General features: G+C 60.2%; 1 protein-coding gene across 24 annotated transcripts in view, besides 4 other annotated features; it reads left to right on the top strand.

The window, feature by feature from the left end:
• The window catches only part of MYRF (myelin regulatory factor), a 35,883-nt gene that overhangs the window by 5,614 nt on the left and 9,723 nt on the right, over positions 1-20,546 (top strand). For 11 of the 24 annotated variants that reach the window (XM_005274222.2, XM_005274223.2, NM_001127392.3 and 8 more), the window contains exons 2-14: positions 7,376-7,463; positions 7,709-7,972; positions 11,011-11,072; positions 11,997-12,276; positions 13,251-13,501; positions 13,580-13,703; positions 15,718-15,913; positions 17,807-17,883; positions 18,073-18,183; positions 18,538-18,628; positions 19,015-19,215; positions 19,485-19,596; positions 20,131-20,240. In XM_005274222.2, the coding sequence (XP_005274279.1) occupies positions 7,376-7,463; positions 7,709-7,972; positions 11,011-11,072; positions 11,997-12,276; positions 13,251-13,501; positions 13,580-13,703; positions 15,718-15,913; positions 17,807-17,883; positions 18,073-18,183; positions 18,538-18,628; positions 19,015-19,215; positions 19,485-19,596; positions 20,131-20,240 (1,967 nt within the window). Of the gene's footprint in view, positions 1-7,375; positions 7,464-7,708; positions 7,973-11,010; positions 11,332-11,996; positions 12,277-13,250; positions 13,502-13,579; positions 13,704-15,717; positions 15,914-17,806; positions 17,884-18,072; positions 18,184-18,537; positions 18,629-19,014; positions 19,216-19,484; positions 19,597-20,130; positions 20,241-20,546 lie in introns of those variants that run through there. The other 13 variants (XM_005274228.2, XM_047427528.1, XM_047427527.1 and 10 more) reach the window with 3 other exon arrangements.
• Positions 2,790-3,546: an enhancer, noted in NCBI's record as "H3K4me1 hESC enhancer chr11:61528511-61529267 (GRCh37/hg19 assembly coordinates)". NCBI's record gives its function as "activates a minimal SCP1, AML or CMV promoter by ChIP-STARR-seq in naive H9 embryonic stem cells {active_cell/tissue: H9 hESC(naive)}" and the evidence as "EXISTENCE:reporter gene assay evidence [ECO:0000049][PMID:30033119]".
• Positions 9,853-10,429: an enhancer, noted in NCBI's record as "H3K4me1 hESC enhancer chr11:61535574-61536150 (GRCh37/hg19 assembly coordinates)". NCBI's record gives its function as "activates a minimal SCP1, AML or CMV promoter by ChIP-STARR-seq in naive H9 embryonic stem cells {active_cell/tissue: H9 hESC(naive)}" and the evidence as "EXISTENCE:reporter gene assay evidence [ECO:0000049][PMID:30033119]".
• Positions 10,430-11,005: an enhancer, noted in NCBI's record as "H3K27ac-H3K4me1 hESC enhancer chr11:61536151-61536726 (GRCh37/hg19 assembly coordinates)". NCBI's record gives its function as "activates a minimal SCP1, AML or CMV promoter by ChIP-STARR-seq in naive H9 embryonic stem cells {active_cell/tissue: H9 hESC(naive)}" and the evidence as "EXISTENCE:reporter gene assay evidence [ECO:0000049][PMID:30033119]".
• Positions 14,296-14,415: an enhancer, noted in NCBI's record as "active region_4800". NCBI's record gives its function as "activates an Ori minimal core promoter by ATAC-STARR-seq in GM12878 lymphoblastoid cells {active_cell/tissue: GM12878}" and the evidence as "EXISTENCE:reporter gene assay evidence [ECO:0000049][PMID:35858748]".

The raw sequence follows: 20,546 nt of genomic DNA on the forward strand, positions 1-20,546 counted from the left end.
CAGCCACCGGAGTGCACAACCACAGCCTCTGTCTCTCCTTTGTGGAGTTTGAGGATCCTATCTCCCTCCGGCCTCCCTCACTCCCCTCTCTTCTCCCTCTATGGCTGGGGCAAGGGGATCCCCATCCCCTGCCCTGCTAGCTTGGAGGAGGGAAGTTGTGCCTGTGACACTGAGTTCACTCAGTGGGGCCTGGCTCCAGCCGGAGCTGCTTAGGGAGGGTCTGACAGCAGGCGGGGAGGGGGCTTGGAGGGAAGAAGAGGAGGTGGGAGCTCTTCCTGGGTGGCCACTAACCTAACCCATGCATGTGACGCTGTGCCTGTGGGCCTGGGCCTGTCGTCGGGTCAGTGAGTGTTTGTGTACATGCGTGTCCTGGCATATACACCTGTGAAGTGTGCTGAGGTGTGAACATGCACAGGCATGCTCGTACCTCAGGGCTTTTGCACCGGCTGTCCCCGCCATCTGGAACCTTCTAGAATGCTAGGCATTTTGCTGCTCTCGTCATCTGACTCTGCTCCCTAGAATGTCAGCTCCATGTGGGCAAGGCTTTTGTCCCTTTTGCTCACTGCTGTAGCCCCAAAGCTGGGCACTATGCTTGCCTGGCACATAACAGGTGCTCAGTAAATAACTGCTGAATGAATGAAGGCACACGGATGAACGCTGGTGTGCGCATGTGTGTGGGTATATGTGTGGGGCATGCCACTGTGTGTCAGTACTGTGTATGTGTGAGTAGGGGGCAGGTGGTACGTGATCATGCGCATGTCAGTGGATACCTGACTGCAGGGTGTGCCCTTACATATATGTGTGTGTGTTGGCAGTGTGCCTGCGTGGGGCCACGCCGGTGTGTAGGCACAGATGGGCACAGGTGACCCTGGTGGAGACCTGTGTCCACCCCAAGCTGCAGGGTCTCTACCTGGCACCTGGTGGCCTGCCTGCCCTGGTCCCTGTGGGAGAGAGTAGGAACAGGTCGCAGCTGCTGGCCTCGGTGCTGTTGGACCTGGCTTTGGAGCATCTTGGGGCTGTGAGTTCAGCCTTATGTTGACCTGAGGACAGGGCGGCAGCTTCATGGGGACTTGGAGTGGATGTAGCCATAGCCCAAGGGTGGCTAAAGATTCTGGGTCTCCTAGAAGAGAGGGTTCTCCGGCTGGGCCAGTGGCTCATGCCTGTAATCCCAGCACTTTGGGAGGCCGAGGCAGGTGGATCACCTGAGGTCAGGAGTTCGAGACCAGCCTGGCCAACATAGTGAAATCCCGTCTCTACAAAAAATACAACAATTAGCCAGGCGTGGTGGCAGGCGCCTGTAGTCCCAGCTCCTTGGGAGGCTGAGGTGGGAGAATCACTTGAACTCAGGAGGCGGAAGTTGCAGTGAGCCAAGATTGTGCCACTGCACTCCAGCCTGGGCAACAGAGTGAAACTTTGTCTCAAAAAGAAAGGTAAAAAAAAAAGAGAGGGGTCTCTGTAGGCAGCCTGTGGGGGCTCTTCTGCATTTTTGGTAAGAAGCTGGGAGAGAACAAAGACTACTGTGACTCAGATCGAAGAACCTGATAGAAAAACGGCTCAAGAGCCCCATCTTTGTCAGGTGTGGCTGCTGGGCCCAAGCTAACTGAGATTTGATGCGGAGAGGCAAAGGGTTGCTTGCACAAGCAAACATCTGACCTGAAGGCATTTTGACTAAGACGGCTCTGGTCACAAGTTGAAGCCTGAAGCAGGGCAGCTAGCAGTTATAGATTTTTTTTTTTTGAGACAGAGTCTCACTCTGTCGCCCAGGCTGGAGTGTGGTGGCACGATCTCGGCTCACTGCAACCTCCGCCTCCCGGTTTCAAGTGATTCTCCTGCCTCAGCCTCCTGAGTAGCTGGGATTACAGGCACGTGCCACCATGCCTGGCTAATTTTTGTATTTTTAGGAGAGACAGCGTTTCACCATGTTGATCAAGCTGGTCTCGAACTCCTGACCTTGTGATCTGCCCACCTCGGCCTCCCAAAGTGCTGGGATTACAGGTGTGAGCCACCGCGCCTGGCCATAGATCATATTAATAAAGAGAGAAAGCCCAAACCAAAGGAGGTGAGGCCACTGTGCCTTGCCCCCATGTAAACTGGTTGGGAGATGAGCCACAGCACTGGGGGCCCTCTGTGACTGGGGCGATGGGGAGGGGCTGCCAGGGCAGGCAGGGAGGCAGTCGCAGAAGGCTGACCCACTGGAAGGGATGGCTGGGGCCGAGGCCCGGAGGCTGGACTGTGCTGTGCATGTGTAAGAATAGCAGCAGAGTGCTGACCATGCCTCAGAGGGACTTAGGAGAAGGTGAGGATGTCCCTCGGAGGCTCTGGAGCACGTGTGCAGCAAGGCGGAGGGGCCTGGGGGAGAGGGGACAGCCTGGGCGGAGGTGTGCAGGCAGGAAAGGAGATGGGAGTCCTAAGAGAGATGGAAACAGGGCGGTTCACCCTGACTGCGGAATGGCCTCCTGGGGGTCACCTCGTTTAAGGTTCACTCCATGGCAGGGATTCGTGCTCCATCTGATGGAGAAGGAAGCCAGGGCTCAGGTCACTTGCTGAGGGTCATAGCCATCAAGTGGGAAGTCCACATTAGAAACCAGGCCTCTTTGACTCTGGAGGTCTCTCTGGGCATCGTGGTTATGCCCAGGTGGGCTGTCCCTTGACTGCTACCACCCTGGCCCTCAGCTGCTGCCTGAAGCTAGGGCATCCTTCAGGTTCAGATGCTCTGAGAGGACACTCAGAGCAACTGGGGTTGTCGGAAATAGGCCTGGGCCCTGGTGTCCTCTGCACCCCAGGTTCAGATCCACCAAGCCTGGCCAGCATCCTCGGGCCCCGGCCCACCCTACCCACAGCCACGTGGCTGACGGGATTTCCGCCATGTTTGGGGCATGAATTGACAAGTGCCTCATTGACGGGGCAGGGGAGGGGGTGGGCAGGGCACAAGCCTCCCACTGTGCCGTGTCCCCACCCTCCCCCGTTCCCCGGGACAATGGCCGAGACTCAGCCAACGGCCACAGCTGGTGGGGGGGGGGGCACATAAGCACAAGGAGGGGCGGAAGGGAGGGGTCCTGGGTGGAGGGACCACCTGGGCCCCTGCCTGCTCTCATCCTGCACCTGGCTTGGGTGCCCTCCGTTCCTTTCCTGGCCAGCTGGGGTGGCCTTAAGGAGACGAGGAGAGAAGAGCGGAGCGGAGGGGAGGGGGCTGCCTTCCCATAGTCTGGATCGCAGCCTGCCTGGGAAGGGGCAGTGTCTGGTTCCTGTTCCAGGCAGGTAATAAAGGGCCTAATTAATGAGGAGCAGCTGAGGCACACAGCTCAGCAGGGCAGGGGCAGGACCTGGAGGGGCCCCAGGTAGCCCCGGCCCTGGCCACAGCATGGCCTGGCCGAGGTCCCTCACTGGCCACTTGGCTCATCCACTCCGTGAACATTTCCTGGGTGCCTGCTGTGTGCTGGGATACTATATCCCAGAGAGACAGAACAGGGCAGCGCTCATAGCCCAGTGCCTGCCCCTGTAAGCTATGGGCACATGCCCATCCTTTCTGAGCCTCAGTTTCCTCATCTATAAAATGAAGAAAAAGAAAATCACCTACCTTGTAGGTTGGGATGAGAATTCAATATGAGCCATGTAAAGTGCATGGCACAGGGCTGGGCACAGAGTGGCCACTGGGCGAGTGAGCTGTGGGTGGTGGGCGGGTGGTGGACAGACACTCATCCTGCCCAGCGGGGTGTGTGTAGGCGGGAAGGTAAAGAACTGATGAGGAATTACAACGCCCCTGCCCATCCCTTGCTAAACAGAATGGGAGAGTCAGAGATGGCCTCTTGGGGGAATTTACATTTAAGACAAAACCTAAAGCCTGAATAGGACCTGGCTTTCTCAGGCTTAGGGAACAGCATGGAATGGCATGTGTGAAGGCCTTGATGTGGGATGGAGGATGGAAAGGAGGCAAGGGCTGACCACGGAGAGGAGGGGAGGCAGGGGACCTGGGGAAGGAGAAAAGGCTGTCGGGGGCAGGCAGGGGACCATGTCAGGCCTTGGACTGCCAGAGGGCTCCGGGTGTCTCCCCAGCAGTGGGAAGTTGTTGAAGGGTTTGAGAAGGGAAGGACAGAGATGCTGGTTTGTGAGCTCATGGTGCTGTTTTCGGGTTATTGGGCCCTGGGCAGCCTCGGGCAGCCTCTGGCGGGCCCGGCTTCCCTTCTCTCAGAGAGGTCTTGAGGATCAGAACGAGCCATATGGCCCATGTTCCGCTTCCTGCCTGGCAGGTACCCCTGCTTGGGCTCCAGTGATGTTCTGGGGCTCTTTTGGGAGCAGTGGGGAGGGGCGCTCCCGAGAGTGTGCCCATGGGACCCTGCCCCTGTCCTGGGTTCTTGGGGGCTCTATCCCAGCTTCGGCAAGCCCCCACCCTTGTCTTGTCCACCTGGAAAGTCTGTTAGAAATCTCCAGTGTGGTTCACGGGCGGGCTGGGGGCCGAGCGGCGTGGGAAAGAGACGACGCGGCCTCCAGGGCTTCCAGGAGAAGGTGTGGGGTCAGCGTTCCTCAGGAGGCCCTCCGAGCCCCCAACCCTCAAACTTCTTCCCCACCCACTGGCCTCCCCGCAACGCTGCCCCATCAGTTCCCTCCTCCCGCCTCCTTCCTCCATCCTCCGTCCGCCCGGACCCTGGCACGGGAGGGTCCCTCCTCCCCCAAAGCACATCTGGTTCTCGTTAGGGTCTCCCAGGATGCCTCTGCCTGAGGCCCCCTATCCCGAGGGAGGTGGGCAGGAGGATTAGGGGCGATTAGGAGTGCTCCTGGCCAGGAGAGGAGGGGGCTGGGTCTGTTATAAATAGCAACACCATGACTGCATCAGCCCATCATTCACCGTAGATTCCAAGTTCAGGCTCAAAAACTTGCAGCTTCAGCGGCCAGGGTGGGGGCGACGCTCCAGGTGGGGTGGGGAAGGCACAGCAACCGCCAGTCACACTCTCCCTCGTGGAGTCAGACCCCTGCACCTGGTTGGAATCCTCCTTGCCATGTTGCCTTGGGTAAGAGACTTGACCTCTCTGAACAGGGGATGGTGATTATGTTACCTATCTGAACATCCCCACTGTTTAGAGAGGGAAAATGCATAAAGCACTTAGAATCGTCCCTGGCCTGGTAGGCAGTCAGTGTGAGCTGCAGTCACTGTCACCACCACTGTCTTTGTCATCATCGCCATGATGAGTTGAGAAGCACTGGGAGATACTCACTATGAGCCACTGTCAAGTCACTGTCTCTGTCATGGTCAGCATTCTGGGCTGGGAGGATTGAGTAACACACCGCAGGTGAAGAGCCTGCAGGATGCCTTGCGCATAAGAAACTTCTGTGATTAGGCTGGGCGTGGTGGCTCACGCCTGTAATCCCAGCACTTTGGGAGGCTGAGGCGGGCAGATCACCTGAGGTCAGGAGTTCAAGACCAGCCTGGCCAACATGGTGAAACTCTGTCTCTACTAAAAATACAAAAAATTAGCCGTGTGTGGTGGCGGGCGCCTGTAATCTCAGCTACTCGGGAGGCTGAGGTGGGAGAATCGCTGGAACCTGGGAGGTGGAGGTTGCAGTGAACCAAGATTGCACCACTGCACTCCAGCCTGGGAGACCGAGCAAGACTCAGTCTCAAAAAAAAAAGAAATAAAGTAAAGAAACTCCTGTGATTATTAATGTATTTGATTCACAAAATGCCTGGCACACAGTAGGCACTCAGTAAATGGGACCCGTGGTTACAGCAGGGTGGGGCTTGAGCAGAGGCAGGGTCCTGGAACCCAGGCACACAGACTGGCCACGCCCAGCTCGAGAAGCTGCTCTTGCCCCGGCCACACCGCCCTGGACGGCCATTGGTGGTGCGTGGTGGGTGTCCCTTGTTCCTAGCTGGGCGAGCTGGGGGTGGGGGTCAGCAGGAGGGCCCTGGCCTGTCGCAGGCAGCGCGTGACTCCTAGGAGGGCTTAGCCGCTCATTAATCACCTAAGCGGGGCTCAGCATTCTTGAAATGCCGGCTGAGGCCAGGGAGGGGCCTGGGCGGGGGGCTCCCGGGGACCCCAGGGCTCTGGGGCTGGGAAGTGAGGACGGCTGTTCCGACCGATGAGCACCCACTAAAGTGGCTGGCACTTCACACACCTCATCTCGTTTCATACTCAAAACAGCCCCTTGAAGCCATAGCTGTACATGTCCCCATTGCACGAATGAGGAGACTGAGGCGCAGAGAGTGCATGTGACCTGCCCAAGGTCACTCAGCAGGGAGTGGCTGAGCCAGGATTTGTTCCTGGACCTGTCTGAGCTCAACAGGAGAGGGCAGACCCCAGACTCAGGCTCCAGAGGCCTGTGGGAGGGGCCCTCCTGCCTCAGTGGGGCTGGCCAGCCCGGGTCAGCCGTGTGGGTGGGGCTGTCCTCCATTATCGGGGTTGACGCATCTCCCACGTCAGCCCCCTTATCACCCCGCCCTCTGGCTCCCCCTGCAAGGTGACCCTGGGAGGGGAAAGGCCGGCACCTCCCCCGTCCTCCCTCATGATGCCCAAGAGCCCTGGCTGCCTTTCCTCTAGGGGCCCCTCCCCTTGGTGGGGCCGGGGCCAGCGCAGAGGGCCCAGGAGAGGGCGGCAGGCAGAGGAGTGGAGCTCTGGCGGCCATCATTCCCTGCTGGGAGGCCGGGGCAAGCCCTTCCTTCTCTAGGCTTCTGCCTCCTCTGGAAAAAGGGGGCTAAGTTCCCCCGCCTGTGCCCAACAGGGTGATGGGCATATCCAATGAGGGTGCAGGGAGCTCTCCTGATTCTGATCCCCACTCCCGCCTGCGGCCAGGGCCTGGGTGCAGGAGACTCCCACAGCCCTGTGGGCCCCCAGGATATATGGTCCCACTCAGCCAGGCCTCGTGCTCCTGCGTTCCTGGAGCTGGGCCATCTGGACTGACCCCTGGAGGACACGGCAGGACAGTGCCTGTTGGGTCCGAGCCATCCCATCGAGGGCAGTGGGCACCCACGGGGCTCTCGACTCAGTAAGCACCTCATTTGTGCCTCACAGCACCCCATAAGACAGAGGCACAGTGACCCCATTTGACAGATTAGTGGAAAGGACTTGTTCCCTGTCACACAGCTAGAAAGAGGCATGGCAGGATCGGCCTCTCTGTACCCAGATCCATGCCCTGGGCCCCTCTCCTCCTCTGAGACTCAAGGTGGCCTTGTGGTGGGGCGGGGGGGCATTATCAGTGCTTCCTGGAGGGGTGCCAGGCAGTGGAGGGTGAGAGCCGGCCCCCACATGGATACCTGGGTGGGAAGGAGCAGGGGCATCTGTTTTGGAGGGCCAGCCTGGGCAGGGATGGAGGGCTGGGCCCTGAAGCCCAGGGTCTGCAGGGAGCTGGGCCTCTTCCCTAGCCCATCTCTCCTGCCCTGCAGGCCACGACATCAACGGTGCCCTGGAGCCCTCCAACATAGACACCAGCATCCTGGAGGAGTACATCAGCAAGGAGGATGCCTCCGACCTGTGAGTGGCCCCCTCGCCCGGCCTGCACCCGCCCAGCCCCAGCCCTTCGCCTCCCTTCTGTCACCAGGGAGGTCTGAGGGCCGGACCTGGGGTCTGCTGTGGTCCCACCTCTGAAAGCTGCTCCTCGTCCCTTCCCAGCCACTGACTCCTCCGAAATCTCCATAGTTCCCTGCAGGGAGGGGGCGGCTACTTCCCTGCTGGGGCTGGGGTCCTGGCTGGAGCTGAGCCGCCCCCCTTCCCCGCAGCTGCTTCCCTGACATCTCTGCTCCAGCCAGCTCGGCCTCCTACTCCCACGGGCAGCCTGCGATGCCTGGCTCCAGCGGGGTCCACCACCTGAGCCCCCCTGGGGGTGGACCCTCCCCGGGGCGCCATGGTCCCCTCCCACCCCCGGGCTACGGCACCCCGCTGAACTGCAACAACAACAACGGCATGGGCGCTGCCCCCAAGCCCTTCCCGGGGGGCACCGGGCCCCCCATCAAGGCTGAGCCCAAGGCTCCCTATGCCCCAGGGTGAGTAAGGGCAGGGAGTAGGGGGATACAGCGGCATAGGGGCAGGCAGGGAGCAGGGCTGTGGCCGTGACCTGGGAGGTGCTAGACACTGGCCTGGCATGGGATGGGCTGGGTGACTGGCTGTGCGTGGGCAGGTGAGGGAAGGGAGGATGAGTCCAGGTCAAGGGGGGACTCCTGGGCTTTGTTCTGAGGCAGTGGGCAGCCACAAAGCTTCTAAGCATGGGAGTGATGAGGGCTGACGTAAGTGCTAGAAAAATCTCGATGCTGTGTGGAGAGTGGACAGGAAGCGGCGGGACTGGAGGCTGTGACTGTTTACCTTCATGGGAACACCTGCATACCCGTGCACGCGCGCCAAGCCCACCCACTTACGCATCCAGCTGACGTGTACTGTGGCCACAGGAGCTGGCCCATGGCTCAGATGTGGCACCTCAGTTCCCCCCTACCCAAGCAAGCCTCATGGGGCCCAGAACCCAGGCCCTTCCCCCCATCTTTCTGAGGAGTCCACACCAAGGGCCTGACCCAGGGCTGAACCTTAGGCCTGGCTTTGACCAAAGGTTCCAGGCAGCCACCCGGCCAGCCAGACTCCAGGGCAGCTCCCGGGGCACATGCTCACAGCGGGAGGCTGGGAGCATGGGTCTGCAGGGGAGCTCAGGGCAAATGTAGGGGCCCCTGTCTCTGGGTGGAAGAGCATTAAAACACTAGGTGCATGAACTCTGTGTTCAGACAGCCTGGCTCCAACTTCAGCTTCCCCATTTATCAGCCGTCTGCCTCGGTAACCCATGGCCTCAGTTTCTTCTGTGAAGTGAGCCCTCAAATGCTTACCCCTCAAGATTATCGTGGGAAGCAACAAGGGCACAGAGGATGCCCTGGGTGCATGGTGGCCATGGACACATGGCCGGCCGTGCTTCCTGAGCTCCCTGGCTTTTGGGGAGAAGGGAGTGGAGGCCAGGCTTGGGGTGCCAGGGGTGAACCTTTGCTGCAGAAGGCAAACTGTTTGCTTGAGGCTGTGAGGCTGTTCCTAAACTACAGGCCCCTGGGGGCAGAGGGAGGAGAACTAACATTTGGTAAGCGCCTGCTGGTGCCCACTGCTGTATCATGTGCCTATGATTGCGTGAGCTCATCAGCCTTCCTGGGTATCCAGCTCCTGGGAGACCCCACAAGGAGCCCTGGCCACTGCTACCGTCAGGATTTTAATGGCACACTGAGGCTCAGAGAGGGAAAGGGGCTTGTCCAGAGCCACACAGGGACTCTGTGGGCAGGGCCACTCCAGGAAGGGACCCAGGGCCAGACCTGAGTCTAGGTGATAAACAAGACAGACATGAGGCTGGGTGTGGTGGCACACACCTGTAATCCCAGCACTTTGGAAGGCCAAGGTAGGCATATTGCTTGAGCCCAGGAGTTCAAGACCAGTCTGCAACATGATGAAACCCCATCTCTACAAAAAATACAAAAATTAGCTGGGTGTGGTGGCGTGTGCCTATAGTCCCAGCTACTCGAGAGGCTGAGGTGAGAGAATAGTTTGAGCCAGGGAGGTCGAGGCTACAGTGAGCTGTGATCATGCCACTGCTAGGGACAGAGTAAGACCCTGTCTCAAAAAAAAAAAAAAAAAAAAAAGGCCAGGTGCGGTGGCTCATGCCTGTAATCCCAGCACTTTGGCAGGCTGAAGTGGGCAGATCACTTGAGGCCTGGAGTTTGAGACCGGCCTGGGCAATATGGTGAAACCCTGTCTGTACTAAAAATACAAAAATTAGTTGGGTGTGGTGGCGCATGCCTGTAATCCCAGCTACTTGGGAGGCTGAGGCACAAGAATCGTTTGAACCTGGGAGGTGGAGGTTACAGTGAGTGGTGATTGTGCCACTGGACTCCAGCCTGGGTGACAGAGCGAGACTCTGTCTCAAAAAAAAAAAAAAAAGAAAGAAAAGAAAAAAAACAGACACACGGCTCTGCAGTGGCTCCTGAAGCCTAACTGGGGAGAGGTATTCACCAGTACATCTCCAAGTAGAGGAATAATCAGGTGCCAGAGGAACTTAAGAGGAGAGAACACAAGGTGCTGTGGACTTGGGGCATGGGACTGCAGGGACTGCAGGGTGTGAAAGACCTTAACACATTACAGAAGGCCTGGCCATTGTCAGGGAAGTACAGGACGGAGTGGCAGCCCAGGGGGCCTGAGGCTGTGGCGAGGAGTATGGGTTTGAGTCCCCATACACGTTTTTGTATCATTCACACAAAACCTGCAGGGTCTGTGTTCTTGAATCGTTGTATAGGTTTCTACATGAGGCCCCGAAGGTGGGTGGGTGGCTGGCACAGGGATGCAGGGGGACTCTGGAGCCAGCCCCAGGGCTGTGTCCACAACAGGGCCATGGCCTCTCTGGCAGTTCCCTGGGCATGGGAATGGGGAGTTGCTCCAGATGTGGGGACCAGGGATGGCCAAAGAGCTGGATCCCATATGGCCACAGCCTTCCACTTGCTGGGTGAGCACAGGGTTCACGCAGGACGTGTTGACCTCTTGGGTTGAGTTTGTTCTTTTTCCTGAACACTGATAAAAGTGAAACCTGCAAGAAAAAAATAAACCCAGGCCCGGTGGTGCTGGCTCCCTTCCCAGTCCACACCTGCCTCTGGTGGGGCAGCCCCCCATGACCTGCTGAATGCCCTGAGGCCCAGCCCCCTAGGGCCCTGTGTTTCCAGGAAGCTGTGGGGCTTCAGTGGGTGCAGGAAGAGAGAAGAAGTCCTGGCCTTCGGTCTGGGGCGGGAGTCTTTGAGTCCCTGTGCCATCATCAAGGACACTAGTAACTGCCCCCCAAGTGCCCTGTAGGTCTGAGGGGATCCTGGGCGGTCCCCTACCCACAATTCGGCCCCAGGCCCTGCCAGGCACCCCAATGTGGGTGGTGCGGAGAAATGCCCCTAAGGGTGGATGTGACGAAACCTCAGTGTCGCCAGCTTCTGGGGGGCTGTGGGACCCTACCACGCAGAGAAGCTGCCCAGCTGGAAGGCAGAAGCTCAGCTGCTCACCCCCCGGCCCCTTCCCCTGGCTCTCGCAGCACACTGCCGGACTCTCCCCCAGACTCGGGCTCCGAGGCCTACTCCCCCCAGCAGGTGAATGGTGAGTCCAGCGGGCACCGCCCTCCTGCTCCAGGGTTTGGGCAAGTAGTTGGGGCGGCCTTATCAGGGAGGTAGGGGAGGAGGGAGGGGGCCAGCGGCTGCCCAACGGGCTGAGATTATCGCTGGTCAAATACTCCCTGGCGCTTGGCTATTGTTTCCCCACGGGCGGGTGGGGAGCCTGGCCCTGCCTCTGAGCAAGTATCCCCGCGGTGATGCCACCCGCCTGCCCGCCTGCGCCATCATGGACGCACCCTTCGGCGGTAAGTGGGTGGCTGGGGAAGGCCGTGGGTGCAGCCTGGGTGCAGGCTTCCCAGGCCGGGCCCACCTCACCTTAGAGGGTGCTCAGGGGTGCCCTGGCCCCCAGGTGGCCAAGAGCAGAACCACCGCGGGAGCAGGCTCCCCGCAGTCCGGATTGGGGTCAAGAGTTCTGTTTATCTTACCAAAAACATCCCTGGAATGCCTCCTGGGGAACAAAGGGAGCTGGGGCCTCCCCGCTCAGGCTGGGGGGCTGGCCCCTGAGAGCCCAGAAGAGGGACTGCCTGCCGGAGAGGGGAACACTGGGCAGGCCTGGGCTGGGGGTCTCCGGAGACGCCTTCCTGAGGCCCAGAGGAGGAGCAGGCCTCAGAGGAGATGGGGACGGAGGGGGACCTTTAGATTTGGGTTGGATTCTCCTGGTCCAGCCTGGGGGCAGGAGGTGGCTAGGATGAGGTGAAAGGCTGCCCCTCCTTGGGCAGGTTTGTGCCTCCCTGCCCAGGCCTCTAGTAGGTGGCTGACCAACGGCCCTCCCACCTAGGGTAGGTGGGGGGCAGCCCCCGGGCTTGGCTCAGGACGGGGTGGAAGCAGGAGACTCTGCCTTGGGGAGGACAGTGCCCAGGAGCCTGAGTGAGGTTGGTCTCAGATGCCCGCTCCCCCATCTCTCCTGCAGAGCCCCACCTCCTGCGCACGATAACCCCTGAGACACTGTGCCACGTGGGAGTGCCCTCCCGCCTGGAGCATCCGCCCCCACCTCCAGCCCACTTGCCAGGCCCCCCGCCACCCCCACCACCCCCACCTCACTACCCTGTCCTGCAGCGGGATCTGTACATGAAGGCCGAGCCCCCGATCCCCCACTACGCTGCCATGGGGCAGGGGCTGGTGCCCACTGATCTTCACCACACCCAGCAGTCCCAGATGCTGCACCAGCTCCTGCAGCAGCACGGAGCTGAGTAAGACGTGGGTGGCTGGCTCCATGGGGTGGGAAGGTGGGGTACAGGGACCAGGGTGGGCAGGGCGGCGGGCAGGCCAGAGAGGGAGGTAGGGACCGGGATGCACCCAGGGAGGGCAGAAGGCTCTGCAGGGCAGATGGGGGTAACATATTTATACATGTTTACCCAGCAATACCTTGAGGGGTTTACAGCCATGGCTAATTGCTCACAACTACCTTATCTGGTGGGCACAGGTAGGTAAACTGAGGCTCTGATGGGGGAAATGTCCCGTCCAGATCATGAGCCAGGGGCAGAGCCAGGACTGGGCCCGGGGCTGTGCTCTTACCCAGACCCCAGTGATTTTGCAGCTGTCTCATGGAACCCTCAGGTTTCTGAGGAGTCTTCTTCCTAGACCCAAGCCCCCGACTCTGACTCAACCTGCACGATTGTCTTTTCATCTGTTTTACATGTGGAGATTCCATGAAAGGTTTAGTTCAAAGGAAGGTTCTGCTGTCAAAACATTTTGTAAACCAGAAGGGGAAGGAGTGCCGTGCGGAAGCTCCCCTTCCCTGGTTTTTGTGGCCCAGGCCCTCTGTGGCTTGTTTCTGATCACAGGGCCTGCTCTCCATAGAGCCCCCACTATAAAGGGTGACCTTGAGTGTGACACTGCAGGCAGGGACAAACTCATTCATTCCTCAAGCGATTGCTGTGATTCTGTAAGCCAGCCCTGTTGCTGGGCATGATGGAGACACCAAGTCAGGTGTGGCTCCTGTCCACAGTCTGGGGGAAGCGAAGAGTGACAGAAGCAGAAAATGACAGCACAGAGCAATGGGGAGTAGGAGGAGGCAAAGCCTGAGGGCTTCCTGAAGGAGGTGTCCTCTGGGCGGGGCACATCCTGGCCCAAACAGGCTAGAGAGGGGAGAGAGGTGGATACTACCCAGTGGGAGGGGCTCGGGGAGAGCCAGCCCCCACGGCGCACACTTCTGTTTCCCCAGGCTCCCTACACACCCCTCCAAGAAGAGGAAGCACTCTGAATCCCCCCCCAGCACCCTCAATGCCCAGATGCTGAATGGAATGATCAAACAGGAGCCTGGGACCGTGACAGCCCTGCCTCTGCACCCCACTCGAGCCCCATCGCCACCCTGGCCTCCCCAGGGTCCGCTCTCCCCGGGCCCTGGTTCCTTGCCTCTCAGCATTGCCCGTGTCCAGACACCGCCTTGGCACCCGCCAGGTGCCCCCTCCCCAGGTACATGGCTGGCCAACTCTTCAAGGTGGGGTGTGGGACCCAAGGTGCAGGGCCCACATGGGCGTTCCCTCCCTCCAGGCCTCCTGCAGGACAGTGACAGCCTCAGTGGCTCCTACCTGGACCCCAACTACCAGTCCATCAAGTGGCAGCCTCATCAGCAGAACAAGTGGGCGACCCTGTACGATGCTAACTACAAGGAGCTGTGAGTGCCCTACAACACTCCCCACTCCTCCAGGCCCCCCCACCTTGGGACGCCCCAGCCCAGGACCCCATCAAGGTCCTGGAGCAGGGCCTGGGAGCACTCATTTCACAGAAGAGCAAACAGGCTCAGGGAAGAGCCAGGACTGGCAGTCAGGGCTCCTGACTCCTAGGCCAGCCCCAGGCCTCCCTGAGAAGGTGATGACTGCCAGGGAGGGGCAGCTGGGAACCAAGTCAGGGAGAAGTGGGCAGATGGGTGTTTTTTCCCCCGGTTCCTCCTTCCCCACCTCCTCCCTCTGCATTCCAGGAAGGTAGCCGGAAGCTGAGCCCAAGCTGGGCCCTCCCGGCAGCCCCCTCCCTAGAGGGAGGGAGGAGGGGCTGGGGAGGATCCGGTCAGAGGCTGCCTGAGCATTCCTAGCACCCCCTCAACACCCAGATGGCTCCATCTTTCCAGGCCGCAGGCCGGGAGCCCTGTGGGGACCACTCCCCTGGCTCACCCAGAAGGCCAGTGGGCAGGTGACAGGGTAACTGTGGATATTGCCAGGCCTGGGCCAGTGGATTAGACCAGCTGCATGGAGTTGGGTGCTCCAGGCTTTGGGGGAATTCTTAGCCAGCAGTCCCAGGCCTGGGGGCATCTGGCTGCTGGGGTGGCTGAAGGGTCCCATGAAGTCCTGCCAGGTGGGGGTGCAGTCGTATGGCACTCCAGCCTCTCTGGCATGGGGAGGAAACCCCTTACTCTTACTGCCATACTCTTTGGGCCACCCTTGCCACCCCAGGCCCCAAGGCCAGGAAGCTTGGCAGCTGCAGCCCCGGAAGTGGCCCAGGCACTTCCTGGGTGCTTTGCTAGGTCAGGCAGGTGGGTGGAGCTCCAGGAGGGAAGAGGTGGTGAGCCCAGGCCTTTGGCAACACTGGCCAGGCCCAGAGGCCTCTTCCCACAAGTTTGGAAGCATTCTCCCTGCCCAGCTTCCGCCAGGCCAGCACTGGGCACTCCTGTGACCACTCTTGTGCCTGGGGACCTGAGTGAGGGTGCGCTAAGCCACAGGCCAACAGTTGCTCTTTTTTTTTTTTTTTTTTTGAGACAGGGTCTTGCTCTGTTGCCCAGGCTGGAGTGCAATGGCATGATCTCTGCTCACTGCAACCTCCGCCTCCTGGGTTCAAGCAATTCTCCTGCCTCAGCCTCCCAAGTAGCTGGGACTACAGGCGGCTGATTTTTGTATTTTTAGTAGAGGCGGGGTTTCACCATGTTGGCCAGGCTGGTCTCAAACTCTTGACCTCATGATCTGCCTGCCTTGGCCTCCCAAAGTGCTGGGATTACAGGCGTGAGCCACCGCACCTGGCCCAGTTGCTCTTTTTACTGTCAACTAGAGGTGTCTCAAAGGGGCCAAACATGGGACACTAAACCCAGCAACAGATGGGCAAACTGAGGCTGAGTCTGAGGGAGAGTCCAGGAGTGCCCCTTCCCTCCCCGGGCAGACGGAGGGAGTAGGAATGAGGAGGGAGTGGGAATGAGGGCATCTGGGGGCTTGAGCAAGCCGGTGGGCAGGGGCTGGGTCTGCAGCAGAGCAGGCGCCTGGTTCCACCGTTTCCAGGGCAACTAGCTGTCAGGCGCTGTGAGGCTCTGCAGACACAGTCCCTCTCGGGTGAGTGAGGGGGCTTCAGGCAGCCTTCTGGGAAGGAGCCGAGTGTGGGGAGGGCAGTCAAGCCCTCCCCCACTCAGGAGTTCCCTCCAGTCTGGTGGGCCTCAGGGTCTGGCCCTGCTTCCCCCATCACCAGGGCGGGGCGGTGGCCTAAGGCATGGGGTATAGGAGAGAATGTTGTCTGAGGAGTTTGCAGCCCTGTACTAGAATCCTCTCCGGGACTCAGTTTCCATTTCTCAGGAGTGGGGGCAGCCGCATTGGTGGTTTGAGGATGCAGGGGTGTGGTGTGGGAAATGGTTTTGGAACCCAGCAGGTAGGAGGAACCGATGTTCCAGGCCCGGCTCTGGGGCCTCAGGGGAGTGCCCTCACCCGCCCCCCCAGGCCCATGCTCACCTACCGCGTGGATGCGGACAAGGGCTTCAACTTTTCGGTGGGCGACGACGCCTTTGTGTGCCAGAAGAAGAACCACTTCCAGGTGACAGTGTACATCGGCATGCTGGGCGAGCCCAAGTACGTCAAGACGCCCGAGGGCCTCAAGCCCCTCGACTGCTTCTATCTGAAGCTGCACGGAGTGAAGGCAAGTTTGGGGCTCAGCAAGGAAGGGAGGGCAGGAGGGCCCTTTGGGGGCACTGAAAGACCCCAGAAAAAGCAAGCGTTGGCTGGATGCTGTGGCTCACGCCTGTAATCCCAGCACTTTGGGAGTCAGGCAGATCACTTGAGGTCAGGAGTTCAAGACCAGCCTGGCCAACATGGTGAAACCCTATCTATACTAAAAATACAAAAATTAGCCAGGCGTGGTAGTACGGGCCTGTAATCTCAGCTACTTGGGAAGCTGAGGCAGGCAGGAAAATCCTTTGAACCCGGGAGGCGGAGGTTGTAGGGGGCTGAGATCACGCCACTGCACTCCAGCCTGGCAACAGAGCGGGACTTCATCTCAAAAAAAAAAAAGAAAAAAAAAAAAGCAAGCATCTGTGTGCGTGTGTGTGTGTATGTGTGTGTAAACTCCCCCACTGCTACTGCCACCCCGCCCTCCCGCCTTTTATCCCTGTGCCTGCCCCTCAGCCTGCCTCCCCCTCGCCCTGCGCCTGCCTCCCTCTTGTTGGGCTCATCAACCTGCCTCCCTGCCTCCCTTTCGCCCTGTGCCTGCCCCTTAAACGTTAGACTCCTCAGCCTGCTTCCCTCTCGTTGGGCACCTTACCCTGACTCTGTGCCTCCTTGCCTCCCTGCCTCCCTCTCGCCCCGTTTCCTGCTCCAGCCTGTGATTCCCAAGTCTGCAACCCCAGTCAAGACCCATCTCCTGGGCCCTCTACCAGGTGCCTCAGCTCCAGGTCCCAAACTAAACTCCCTGCACACTTGCCTCCCACCCTGGGCTCCCCTCTCAGGGAATGGGGCGCAGGGCCTTGGTTACCTGAGCCGCAAATCTGGGTCAGGGCCCTCTTTCCCCAACCTCATCATGCATCTGGCCTTGCTATTGCCCTGGAAGATCCCTCTACCTGGTCCGGTCCTCGCCTCTTTCCTGTCCATCCCCTGGTCTGGGTTACCTCCCTTCCTTGTCGGAATGTCCACAGCAGCTGGGACCCCCAACTCCTGCCCCACTTGAGACTCAGGGGGCCACAGCACTCCCTATCCTTCCAAGGCCCCCAGTGTCCTCCCAGCAAAGCCCCGGCTTCCAAGCTGCACCACGGGGGCCTTGGGGGCCCTGCCCTCCGCTCCAGCTCTGCCACTTGTGGTACCATCGCAGCCCCCGCCCTCCACCCTGTGGCTCCCTTTGCCTTGGATGCCCTTCCCAACACCCATCCCTCCTCTCCAGGCAGACTCCATGCTGGTCCCCTCCCCAGGGGCCCCTCCCCTAAGACCCATTGGGAGGCACCACAGCACAACCCCAGTAGTGGCTGATTTTGAGTCTATGAGCTCCCTGTGGGCATGGCTGGGTCTGTCGGCTTCGGTGTGATGAGTGAGCCAGGCATGGTACCTTGGCATGGCTCTGCCAGTGCACGTGGAGGAGTAGAGGAGACGTGGGTATGGAGAGGATCTGGGGAGTGAGTGGGCCTAGGTGCAAGTGGATGGGCTTGGAGGCTGCTGTGAGGTGTGTGGGTATGGACATGAGGGAGGGTGGGGCTGTGAGTGTGTGTGTGTGTCTGTGTGTGAGTGCATACATGCAGAGGTGGGGGGAGCGTGTGGGTGTGGAATGGGGGTGTGGGTGTTTGGGGAGTGACTGCATGCGTAGCTGTGCAGAAGTTGGGGGAGTGGTATGCTGTGAGGGGTGAGGAGGGTGTGGGTGTGAAGTAGGGTGTGGGGGGGTGTGACCATGCAGAAGGCATCTGAGCTTGTGGGAATCGCGGCTGAGGGCTGGGTGCTGCCCTGTTTCCTGGTGAGCTCTAGTTGGGCCAGGCCTGGCTGAGAGGGGGCAGGAGGGCAGGACCAGCCGGGTAGCCCCATCCTGAGGTGCCACTGGCTTCACTCCCCACAGCTGGAGGCCCTGAACCAGTCCATTAACATCGAGCAGTCCCAGTCAGACCGGAGCAAGCGGCCCTTCAACCCGGTCACGTGAGTGTCTGACCCTGTTGGGGGTGGTACCTAGAAGGGTCCACAACTAAAGCTGGCTTGGGAATGGAGGGGCCAGGGAGGTACCCAGGGTGTCCGCCTCATGTACGTTGCTGGCCTGGGTGCCCCTCAGTGGCGTGGCTCTTGCAGCCTCCCTCCCTGCCCCCTGAGCACCCTGCCTCTCCTCTGCAGGGTCAATCTGCCCCCTGAGCAGGTCACGAAGGTGACTGTGGGGCGGCTGCACTTCAGCGAGACCACCGCTAACAACATGCGTAAGAAGGGCAAGCCCAACCCGGACCAGAGGTGAGCAGGTGGGGGCCCTGCCCCGGAGCCCCTCCATTTCTGAGGCAGGAAGACACTGCCCTGGGTGGCACACCAGGCACAGAGTCCTACAGGCTGAGCCATTTCACAGATGAGAGACCTGAGATTTAGAGCCCTTCATTGACTTAAGGATGGGAAGAGCAGAAGCCTGGCTTCTGGGTTGAGAAACAGCCCTGGCTTCTTGCTGTGGGCCCTGGGGAATTTCTGCCCCCTGGTGGAGGCTCGGGTTCCTCCTCTGTAGGAGGGGGTGAGATGAACATGCATCTGGCCAGGGAAAGGGTGGCCCTGGGGGCGGGGGCAGGCCATGAGTACTTCTGAGACCCCTGTGTGTCCCAGGTACTTCATGCTGGTGGTGGCCCTCCAGGCTCATGCACAGAACCAGAACTACACGCTGGCCGCCCAGATCTCAGAGCGCATCATTGTGCGGGTGAGGGCCACCTCCTCCCAGGGCGTAGACAGCCCTCCCCAGGACTGGGAGAAACAGCAAGCAGAAGTACCCGGGTACTGAGAGTCAGGAGTGGGCATGCTCATCCTGCTAGGCACTGGCTGTGTGGCCTTGGGCAAAGCTCCCACCCTCTCTGGGCTGCAGGGTCTCCACAGTAAAGCAGGGAGGTGGACGAAGCCTGGTAGCTTCTGGGATCCCACAAGTGACAAAAAGTTGTCACAGTGGGAGGGACAGTTCAAGTTGGGCTTGGTGCAGTGAGAAACCCTGGCTGGAAGGGGAGGGGCTGCTGTGGAGTTTCCCCCTGCTCCCAGGGCCCTGCAGGTCCCCTCCCTATCCCCCAGGACTGATCCAGCCCCAACTCGCGGTAGGCCTCCAACCCAGGCCAGTTCGAGAGCGACAGCGATGTGTTGTGGCAGCGGGCACAGGTGCCCGACACCGTCTTCCACCACGGCCGCGTGGGCATCAACACAGACCGGCCGGATGAGGCGCTGGTTGTGCACGGGAATGTCAAGGTCATGGGCTCGCTTATGCACCCCTCCGACCTGCGCGCCAAGGAACACGTGCAGGAGGTGGGGACAGGGCTGTGGGGGCCGGGCGGGTCCAGACGCTGGAGCGGGCCGCGGGGGCGGGGCTCCTGGGGAGGGGGCGTGACTACGCGGAAAGGCGGAGCTGCGGGGGAAGGAAGGGAGGGAGGCTGGCCTCGAATCCCGATCTAACCACTCCAGTGGTGGGGTCTCCTCTCCACACTGCAGCCTCCAGGCTGCCGCCCTCCTGGGCTCCGGGGCCTGCTCCGGGACGGCCGCAGGAGGGGTTCATTCCCGGGCCTGGCTCCCCGCAGGTGGACACCACCGAGCAATTGAAGAGGATCTCGCGCATGCGGCTGGTGCACTACAGATACAAGCCCGAGTTCGCCGCCAGCGCGGGCATCGAGGCCACCGCGCCAGAGACAGGTAGGGACCGGGCTGGTGCGGACTGGGGTCCGGAAACCCAGAAACCTCGGGCCTCAGTGACCTTGCCCCCTGTCACCTGGAAATCCTACTCCTCTTGACTCCCGGAACTGCGCCCCTGGGAATCATGCCTTCTAGAAGTCCCGCCCCTCGGACCTTGGAAAATCGCACCTCTCCAGGTCCCCGGAACCTCGCCCCATTGTCAGTGGAAATCTGAGAATCACGGCCCAGGGACCCTCGCCCTTCGCGCTAGATGAATCCTACCTTTAACCTGCCAGAATACTACCCACTTGCCCTGGGATCCTTACCCCCAGGAATCCGCCCCACCCCAGCCCAGGAACCTCACACCTGAGCCCTGGAATTGCAATCCTGTGAACACTGGTTCGTGGGATCTCCCTGCTCCAGGGCTCCTTGGAATCCAAATCTCTGGGTTCCAGAACTTCACCCTCTCCAGTCTTGCTCCCACTGTACATTACAAAGCTGTGAGTAGCCCTTTACCACCCCCCCACCCATCTTTGGCTTGTCCCCTGCCCCCAGGTGTCATCGCTCAGGAGGTGAAGGAGATCTTGCCTGAGGCTGTGAAAGACACCGGAGACATGGTCTTTGCCAATGGGAAAACCATAGAGAACTTCCTGGTGGTGAACAAGGTCTGTGGGTGGGGGAATGGGAGGGAGCCCAGAGGCAAGTGGGGAGCCAGCTGGGGAACACTCATCACCTCCATAGATACTGGGGGCACTGCAAAGCAGAGGCAGGAGCACCCTCGGCTCTCATGCTGCCTCCAGAGCGCCCTCTGCACCCCACAGGGAAGGGGTGAGTGTTCAAGGAGATGAGTGGGTAGGGATTTGGCCCCTGGAGCCTGTGTGATCAAGGGCAAGAGAAACCCTGTGGAGGGCCATGGCCTTCCACCCCCGGTAAAATGAGGGCGGTAATAGAACTGCACAGACATCCTCGTA

Source organism: Homo sapiens, chromosome 11, assembly GCF_000001405.40.
Source record: "Homo sapiens chromosome 11, GRCh38.p14 Primary Assembly".
NCBI classification, from domain to species: domain Eukaryota; kingdom Metazoa; phylum Chordata; class Mammalia; order Primates; family Hominidae; genus Homo; species Homo sapiens.